This window comes from Homo sapiens, chromosome 20 (genome assembly GCF_000001405.40).
Source record: "Homo sapiens chromosome 20, GRCh38.p14 Primary Assembly".
NCBI classification, from domain to species: domain Eukaryota; kingdom Metazoa; phylum Chordata; class Mammalia; order Primates; family Hominidae; genus Homo; species Homo sapiens.
The window spans coordinates 46314720-46323973 of NC_000020.11; the positions used below are offsets into that span (position 1 = coordinate 46314720).

Genomic DNA, 9254 nt, shown 5'->3' on the forward strand with positions numbered 1-9254 from the left:
AGGTGGCATGAAGCTGTCCCACCTCTGCACTCCACTGGACCTGGAACACATGTCCCTGTTTTCTTCCCTCCTCCTGCCCCTCATGGGTAGCACAGCCCTTGACTCTCATGCCTGATGGGGCCATCACAGATGACGACTTCTTAGGAACAGGCAGTTGGATGCCACGGAGAAAGTGCTAGGTATCCTGAGAAGCCTAAGATCTTCCGGCTGTGGCTCCGACCTCAACTCTCTCTGTGTTTTGGGCAGGTCTCTAGTTCTTTCTTTTCTTGGCCTGGGTTTTCTATTGCATAAAATAAAGGAGGAGAGGTGGGGGAAGATTTCATGATGACCAAGAGCCCTTCCGGGGTCCAGGATTCTCTGCTCCACACGTAATTTTCCAAGCCCTGTCTTGCGTCTTCCCTGTGTGGATGCTGCCTGGCCTTTCTCTTGTTGACACCTGAAGCAGTGATGTGCTGGAACTGGTTTGTGCTGGCTTATCAAAGCCAGTTGTTAGAGTCTTTTTCCAGGAATTTTGCAAGCCAGGTTGGCAAGCCCTTGAAATTGGCCAGGTTGAGAATATTTACACCACAAAAAAGAAATGATAAACAATACAAATCAGGGCTTGCTCCCTGCTTCCCCCAGAGCCAGCTCACCTCTGCCTGAAGGTCTCATTCCTACCTCCAGGCCTTCCACCTCCAGGCCTTTGCCCATGTGGTCTCTGGCTGAGCAGCCTCTGCTCCATCCCTTGCTGTCTGTTCTCTCTCACCAAGGCTTCAGACTTCAACTCATACCTCACCCACTCAGAGCTGAGTGCTTCTTCCTTCACCCGATAGTGCTCCTTACTGCCAGGAATGCTCATTTTTCGTGGAGAAAAATACACACTTTGGAGCAGACAGATCCAAGTGGAAATCCCGGTCCTGCTCTGTGCTCGCAAGGTTGTCTCCTTCTTGTCAGTGGCGCTCCTGCTCAGCTGTTACCTGTTTACAGAGAACATCCCTGACCACCCCACGGCAAATGGCACTTCACCCCTATTCCATCTTGCTGTGACATCACCCAATCTTTTCACCCTGCTTTAACTTCTGAGCTGTTACCCCTTCCTAACATTTACATTTATTTATTAACTCACCCAATGCCCATTTCTCTCTCTAGGATGTGAGTTCTGGGAGGGCAGAGATCTTTTCTGTCCTGATTGCTGCTACATCCTCATCTCCTAGAACCTTGCCTGGCACATAGTAGGTACTCAATCATTTCAGTGACTAAATGAGTGTGACCTTGGGCAAGTCATGTCACCTGCCTGAATTTCAGTTGCCTCAACACCTCACCTGGCAGGATGTTTGGCAGGTGTATTCCTGGCCTGAGCTGCCTTAGAGAAAGGCCAAGGACTGGGATCCTAGTACCAGCCCTGCCACTAACTCGCTGTGTCACCTTGGGCAAGTCTCGCCTCCCCTGGCCTCAGTTTTGCCATCTCTCAGGGGTCAGATGAGATGACAAGCAGGAGTGAGGTGTCATTTCAATCTGTGGGTCCCATCTGCTGCTCCCTCCCACCCCCTCCCCACCTCATTCATTCATTCAACAAATATTAATGAGCATCTACTATGTGGCAAGCACTGAGAATACAGGACCAAATGTGGGGATGACTCATGGGCTCCTACATCCCAGTTGGGGAGGAAAATAAACAAGATAAATTCACAGAATAAATAGAATGTCAGAGGGTGATGGTACCAAGGAAAAATTAAAAGCTGGAAAGGAGCACGGGGAGAGTTGAAGAGGGGGTGTCAGTTTTAGGAAGTGGCGGGGGAGTCAGGGAAATAACTCACTGGGAAGGGGAAACATAAAGAAAGATGCAAAGAATGCCAGGTGTGGTGGCTCACACCTGTAATCCCAGCACTTTGGAAGGCCGAGGCAGGTGAGTCACATTGAGGTCAGGAGTTCGAGACCAGCTTGGCCAACATGGTGAAACCCTGTCTCTATAAAAATACAAAATTAGCCAGGCATGGTGGCGTGTGCCTATAATCCCAGCTACTCGGGGCGCTGTGGCAGGAGAATCGCTTGAACCCAAGAGGCAGAGATTCCACCACTGTACTCCAGCCTGGGCGGCAGAGTGAGACTCTCATCTCAGAAAAAAAAAAAGACATAAAGGAGGTGGCTCCCTAGGGTAGAGGGAATGGCAAGTGCAAAAGCTGGAAGCAGAATGGGCCTGGTGTGTCTGGAACCCAGTGGGCTGAGGCCACAGATGGGACAAGGCATCCTACCCCTCCCTCCATCTCTCATTAGGATTAGGAAGATGGTCCCAAAGAGTGTGACACAGGAGTCTCAAAAGGAAGATGGAGGGACTCCCCTGTGCCTCCCTCCCTCCCTCGCCGCCTGGGCGTCTCCTGAGTGGGGAGCCCGGGCTCGCTGTGGGTGTCGGCAGCTTTTGGATCAGCAATTTATCTCCTGGTGCCTCGAGTTTCCTGGAGCTGGGCACTTCCTCCCCACTCAGCCCCGCTCCCTTGAGCGGCAAAGACAGGTGTGAGGAATTAGCTGTGGGGACTAATGCCGTGACAGGAACCGGCACAAAAGAAGGGGACAGAGTGTAATGTTTATTACGTTTGAAGCAAAGCAAACATGCGGCCTATTTATGTATCTATAGAGAATTAATTGGCGAGCGGCAGCAAGAAGCAGATTATAAATTAGAATCATTTTCGCCAACTGAAACCCATTCATCTTGCTTCAGAACGGGCCTGTCACCTCCTCCTGACTAATTCCTTTTAAATTTGCTGCTTTTTCTCACCGGCCCCCCGCAGCTCTCACCTCGCGACCTGAACCCCACGAGGGGTGCCTCCGGGAAGGGCCATGGCCAAGCTCTGTGCTTTTCTGAGCCCACTCTCTTCCTCCTCCAGCCTCCTGGAACTCCCCCCGTGCCCCACAGCTGGTCCTGGGCCTGAGCCCATGCCTTGCACTGCTGTCTCTCCTTCCCCTCTGCTCTGGAACCTCCCTCAGCCCCTCTCTGGCTCTGGCCTGTCCCCTGAGAATCCGGCAGGTTGGGCCCCCCACCAGCCTCACCTTGCAGAGGCTCAGGCCAGGCTGGTGGTTAAGGGAAAAGGGCACATGGGGCTGCCATCCGGGGGGACCCTGGGGCACTGGCCACTGCCGCCTGCTTTTGATTCTGGGCTCCACGGGAATCAAAGGGAAGCCACGCTGCTGGGTCCCTGGCAGGTCTGGCTCTGGCTTCTCTCACCTGGAGCCTGTGGAGATGAAAGGCCAGGGCAGGTGCCAGAGGCTGCCATGCCCAAGAGCGGTGCTGTGCCTGCCCTGGGCTGTGGCCCAATTAACCCTTCCCTTCCTTCTGTCTGAGCTGCCGTTGGTCCTTTGAGTCTGGCAACTGCAGGGAAACCTTTGTGGAGAAGAGAAAGTAGCCAGAATGTGAGTGCCTGGGACTGGGACAAGGTAGCTAAACATCAGAAGCCTAATGGTTCAAGGTGCAGGCCCTGGAGTGAGCCCAGCCTAGGTTTGAATTCAGGTAGCACCTCCCCACTAGGGTGGCACCTCTCTGAGCCTCAGTTTCTTTGACTGTAAAATGGAGCAGGTGGTAGTAGTGCCTATGACCTGAAGCAATATTCAGCCGGGCTTGTTAAAATATTGCAGTATGGGGCCGGGCATGGTGGCTCATGCCTTTAAACCCAGCACTTTGGGAGGCCGAGGCGAGCAGATCATTTGAGGTCAGGATTTTGAGACCAGCCTGGCCAACATGGTGAAACCCCGTCTCTACTAAAAATTAAAAAAAAAAAAAAAAGCCAGGCATCGTGGCAGGCACCTGTAATCCCAGCTACTCAGGAGGCTTAAGCAGGAGAATCTCTTGAACCCAGGAGACAGAGGCTGCAGTGAGCCAAGATCATGCCACTGCACTCCAGCCTGGGTGACAGAGCGAGACTCTGTCACACACAAAAAAATATTGCAATACTTTTGTCCTGGCCAGCCCATGGACCAAATGTTCTCTCCTGCTCCCATTTCACCTACGGACACCTCCTCTTGCCAAGGTCCAAAAACTAAAGGTTGACTCCTCTGGCGGCCGTGAGGACCTGCTGCAGCCTCAGTGGTTCTGATTGATCCTACGTGCTGAACTGAGGGTTAAATATTTTGTTTATCTGCCCTGCTTGCATCCCACAGATGTCATGAAGATTAAACAAGATAAGAGTATGGTGCTTGGCATCCAGTAGGTGCTTAACAGAGGTAGGTATCGTTGGCGCCATTATTAATTTGGACCAAGTCTCTAAGCCTGGAATCCTGGCATTCCAGGTCCCCACTTTTCCCCACCTCCCCACCTTTTAAAAACATTCACCAATAACTTCCAGCCTCCCCCATGAATGCGCTGTTCCCACCCCAGCTGTTGGGCCTGAGACTCTCTCTGTGCTGAGCTCCTGGAATGTGCCAGAGCACGGACCTCCTGCGTTGGGAAACCTTCTTCTTTGGGGATGTTGAGTCTCAGAGGCAGACCTGGAGTCCTTAAGGGGAGCACCTCAGCTAACTGACCTCTGTGCTCCCTTCTCCCCAGATTGGCCACAGCCTAGGGGTGTCCAAAAGTCCCAAGACTGAGACAGAGAGACAGATTGGCCCAGTACTGCAGGCAGCATTCAGGCAGTTGTCAAGGGCCTATGGAAAAGTTCAAGATGTGAAAAGGAAAAAAGAAAAGATAAGCTCCAAAATACAAAAAGAAAACTGCAAAATCAAAATTAGTAAGTGTTTAATTAAATGTCTACAAAATCTAGCATTGTGCCAACTAGTCAGTGCCAATTCTGTTCATCCCTCCTCTACTCATGCATAGGAGAGGTCTGAAGTGGGAGTCGGTGCATTTTATGCATGTGCTGTGGTGTGGCACGGGGACCTTCAAAGCAGGAGTGTGCTGGGGTTCAATCTCTTGGGTCACAGCTCTGTTCCTTGCTCACTGGGTGACCTTGGGCGAGTCACCTCCGCTCTCTGGGCCTGTTTCTTCTTTCTTCCTCTGTCAAATGAGGAGAACCACTTCCCAGCTCCCAGAGTGGCTAAGAGGCTATGGAAGCATGTTTCAGGAAAGTCTGGCAAGTGCTGATCTCGTGTTGTGGGAATCCAGCAAGGGGAGGGGGCTTGCCAAGACCTGCTGAAGAAGACTTGAACCTCAACCTCTGAGCTCCTCTCTGCCTTGTTCCCCTGCACAGGGCATGGACAAGGACGATATTCGAATGTGTAACAGTTAATAATGGCCATTGGAGCAAGACCCTGGAGGCCCTGCTGGGCCACTTGTAACCCATTAGTTGCTGGATCCTGGGAAGAGTCAGGTGTTCTGGGGCAGAGCTGGGTGTCAAGGAGGTGGGCTGAGCCCTTGGGAAACTCTACACAGGCAACCACCTATTTGCCCATCAGAATGGAAAGATGTCAGCATTTGAACACCTGGCACAGCCCTAGTGACGTGTGCTGGCTCCACCTAGCCTGTCATGGGTCATCCTCCAAGATGGGCCAGGACACTTTTGTGAGTGACGTGGCATTTAGAGATCATTATTTATATGCTGACCCTATGTCCCAGAGATTCTGCTCCTGGGTGTAAATTTCAGTGAAATTCTCAGCATGACTGGGAGGAACAAGTCTGAGGATTCTTGTGCCCATGCTGTGTTGAGGGGAGTTGGAGGCAACCCACCTCTCCTCCCTGGGGGAGCGTACAGGAAGACATGGGAGACACACCCTGCAGAGGTCCTGGCAACTGTTAGACAAGTGTAGAGATGGCCATGGACGGATCTTTAAAACATGAGATGAAAGGAGCGAGGAACCAACTGGGATCTATGGCATAATACCATCTATTTGAATTAAATGTGCATTCAGATGGTGCTTATATGAATTTATATGTGTGTTGAAATTTATAGAACTATGCGCCCAAAGAAAGTCAATGTTACTTTGTGATAATTGAAATAAAATAAAACAATATAAAATAAGACAAGTGACCACTTTCAGAGGGCTCATAGTCTAGGAGGGGAGATACATACGAAAAAATTGCATTTATACAAAATCATGCTCATTTGCAAGAACACATATAAAACAAAGGATCTCTTGTGATCTTGCTCCATTATCTTGCTCCAGGAGCTCCCAGGTTAATGCAGAAGACAGACAGAAAAATCCTTACTCCAGTATCATCAGGGCTGTGCATACATATGAGGCACTCTGGGACCACAGAGGAAGGAACAATTTATTCTGTCTAGGGGAACCCCAGAAAGCTGCCCCTGAAAACAATGATATGTAATTTGAGTCCTCAATGCTGTCTACGAAGAGTTCATGGCATAATATGATCTCCCTACCAGAGAACAGGCAACACTTAATCCAAGGGAATGAAATTGAAATAGTGGGTTTTAGTTGCCATGGGAGAAGATGTAGTTGGCCAGGGGTCCTTTCAGGCTGGGGACACTTCTTGCCTTATCAGCTTCTGGTGTCTGGGCCCCCTGCAACTCAAGCTGGGATTGAATAGGCAGGCTGTGTCCCCATCCCGAGAGGCCTAGCGTGGTTCCCTGAGTCGGAGAAGAAAGGTGGCCCTCCTTGCATCTGCCTGGGAGGCTGCTGTGGCCTTCCTGGACTCCTCCATCCTGCTTCCACCTTCAATCCATCACCTTTTGCTTGCTCCCCTTCCATCCCAGTAGCACATGGCCCAAGCACAATCCCTGGCCAGCCCTTTCCTGCTTTATCACCAGTCTCCCTTGTCTCTCTCTCACACAATTCCCTTTATCCTGTAGTCCAGAGAGAGCATCCTGAAGTCAGGTCTTCTCTGGGGCTCTCCATGTACAGATCTTCATGGCCCTCAGTGCAGTTCCATCCCCTCTCCTGGGCTCCCCAGCATGATATCTCCCTGTTCTCACTGCACTCCTTACCCTCAGATATCGCTAGACCACCTGAGTGCTGCCCTGCTTTGCTCACAGTGCCCCATCTTTTGGAATTCCTTTCTACTTTCCCTCCTACTTCCCCCAGCTAACTCCTATGCACCCCTCAAGACCCAGACCTCACCCCCTCCTGGAAGCCTCACTCATCACCCAGGACTACAACCCCCAAACCTCTCCTATTGCAGACTAGAGCACACTGAATTGAAACCGTCTTCTTACTTCTCTGTTAAAGGGCTTGGGTTCAAAGAGCTGGCTTTAGATCCAGGTGCCTGAATTCACATACTGATTCTGCTGTACTGCACTCTTGGACCAGTTATTTGACCTTTCTGGGCCTTCTATTTCTCATCTGTACAATGGAAATAGAAAGAGTACCTATCAGAAAAATAAAAACAAACAAAAACGCTCCAAACCACTCAAATACCCACCTCATGGGGATTTGGGGAGGAATAAATGAAGCAGTGGGCATGAGTTCTTGGCTCAGTGCCCAGCACATAGTAAGTGATCAATAAATGTTGGCCATTATTGTCTGTCTCCCTCCACCAAGCCAGGAGTTCCTGGAGATCAAGGCAGAATCTGATCTGCGTTTGGGGGCCCAGCACCTCCCCAGGGTCTACTTGTTGAACAGTTATCTGCCAGACATTCCATTACTGTGTACTAAGAGATTCCACATAGGTGCCCACCATTAGCATATTTGAGCCATGGGTCTTAGAACTGGCACTCAGATTGGAGTTGTTCCATGCTTTTGATCTGGGGCCTGGCAGTGTCTATGATGGGAGTGAAGGGGCCACCGCTAGCCAGATCTCTTTCCCTGGCCTCCACTCACCTGCCCCCTGGCCGGGTTCCAGCCTCCCACTCAAGCCATCCTCTCTGGGTGATGTAGCATGTGAGGCAGAGGACAGGGTCCGGAGTAGGAGCCATCACCAGCCAGACTGCCCTTGGTCTTGCCAGAGGCCTCCTTGGTGCCCGCCTGCCTGGCTCCTGCCTGGCTCCCAGCTCAGTTGCAACCTTTCCCAACTAGGCTTTCCTGCCTGGGTGGCCCTTGGCCTCATTAACAAGGAAGTGTTCCTTGGCAGCATTACTAATTAGCAGCAAAAGACGATTAGTGTCATTAACAGACTCAAAACATTTGTATTATTAGCTCCTTGGTGGTTTGGGGTTGCCTGGACCTAGGTAGGGATGGGAGCCTCCCGGGTGGAGAGTGGACTTGAGAGGGAGCTGGCAGGAGAGGCAGTGAGACAGAGGTGGCGGGGAGGGAGCTGGTGAGAAAAAAAAACCACGAAATTTAAAGTGAATGAATTATTTACTGCAGGAAACAATCCCGGACTCACTCACTCTGACTCAGAACATCCCAAACTGTAATCTGCGGCATTTTTCACATCTCCCTAGTGTGCGGAGTGATTTTCTTTACAATTGGATACCAGAGGCCGGGGGAATCTTGTAAGAGATTGGCTTAGTATTGATCATGTGTGTCTTCCTGGGTCCCTGGCTCCCACCCACCCTCGAGGCTGGCATCTCCAGCTTGGACAACACCCTAAGGCTGGCTGGGGCCAGAGTCAGCCCCAAGTGGGAGCTGATGAGGGGGCCATGACCCTGGTGAGCATTTGGAGCCACGAGAATAGGCCCCTTGCCCTAAAATGAGCTGAATGTCCCTGTTTCGGAGTCACCTCACCCCAGCATGGTCACTGAAGGAGCCCCTGCCATGTTGCCATATGTTTCAGATGCATTATGTCATTATCCCTTCCAAGAGTCCTAGGCTAGATATTATTAATCCCATTTTTCAGATAACAATAAGAGCTACTCTTTATCGACCTCTGCCTAGGTCCTAGGCACCGTGCTAATATCTTTCATTTATTATCTAATTGTTTCCTTAAAACAGCCCTGGTTATGGAGAGACTCAGAGAGGTGACGTGGCTTGCCTAGAGTCACACAGCAAGTGGCAGAATTGGCCCCAAATCCTGGTCTCCCCCTTGCCGTCACGGGGCACACACCGACCCCTCTACCCCGGGCAGCAATGGAAGGAGGGTCAAAAGATAAGGGACATAAAACCCAGGGTAAGGAAAGACAGCAGGTGTTCCCTGCTACTCGGGTGCCCCTCCCAGTGACTCCCTGACAGGGCCATGCTTCACCTGGAAGGACGTGTCTCCAACAGCGAGCATCAGGTGGCGTGGAGCACGTGGAGCACAGCATTGCTCACTCATGGCCAGAGGCTGTCTTCAGAGCAGAGATGAGGAGTCTGGCTGGCTGGGAGGACCAGAAGGACCCTGCTGGGCTGACAAGTTTCGCCTGCTGCAAGGTGCCTCTGGCCCTGAGGGTGGGGGGTCTCCATGGAGTCAAGGAGGAGAGAGGCGGCGCTGAGTGCAAGGAGGCAGAGAAAGCTTCCCAGCAACGGCAAAATCCAGG

The 9254-nt window shown here is 51.4% G+C and overlaps 1 annotated feature.

Moving 5' to 3' along the window:
• Window positions 9065–9254: a silencer, noted in NCBI's record as "fragment chr20:44952422-44952611 (GRCh37/hg19 assembly coordinates)". NCBI's record gives its function as "represses an EF-1alpha promoter that drives an FKBP-Casp9 reporter gene in an ReSE screen in phorbol 12-myristate 13-acetate-treated (for megakaryocytic differentiation) K562 erythroleukemia cells {active_cell/tissue: K562(+PMA)}" and the evidence as "EXISTENCE:reporter gene assay evidence [ECO:0000049][PMID:32094911]".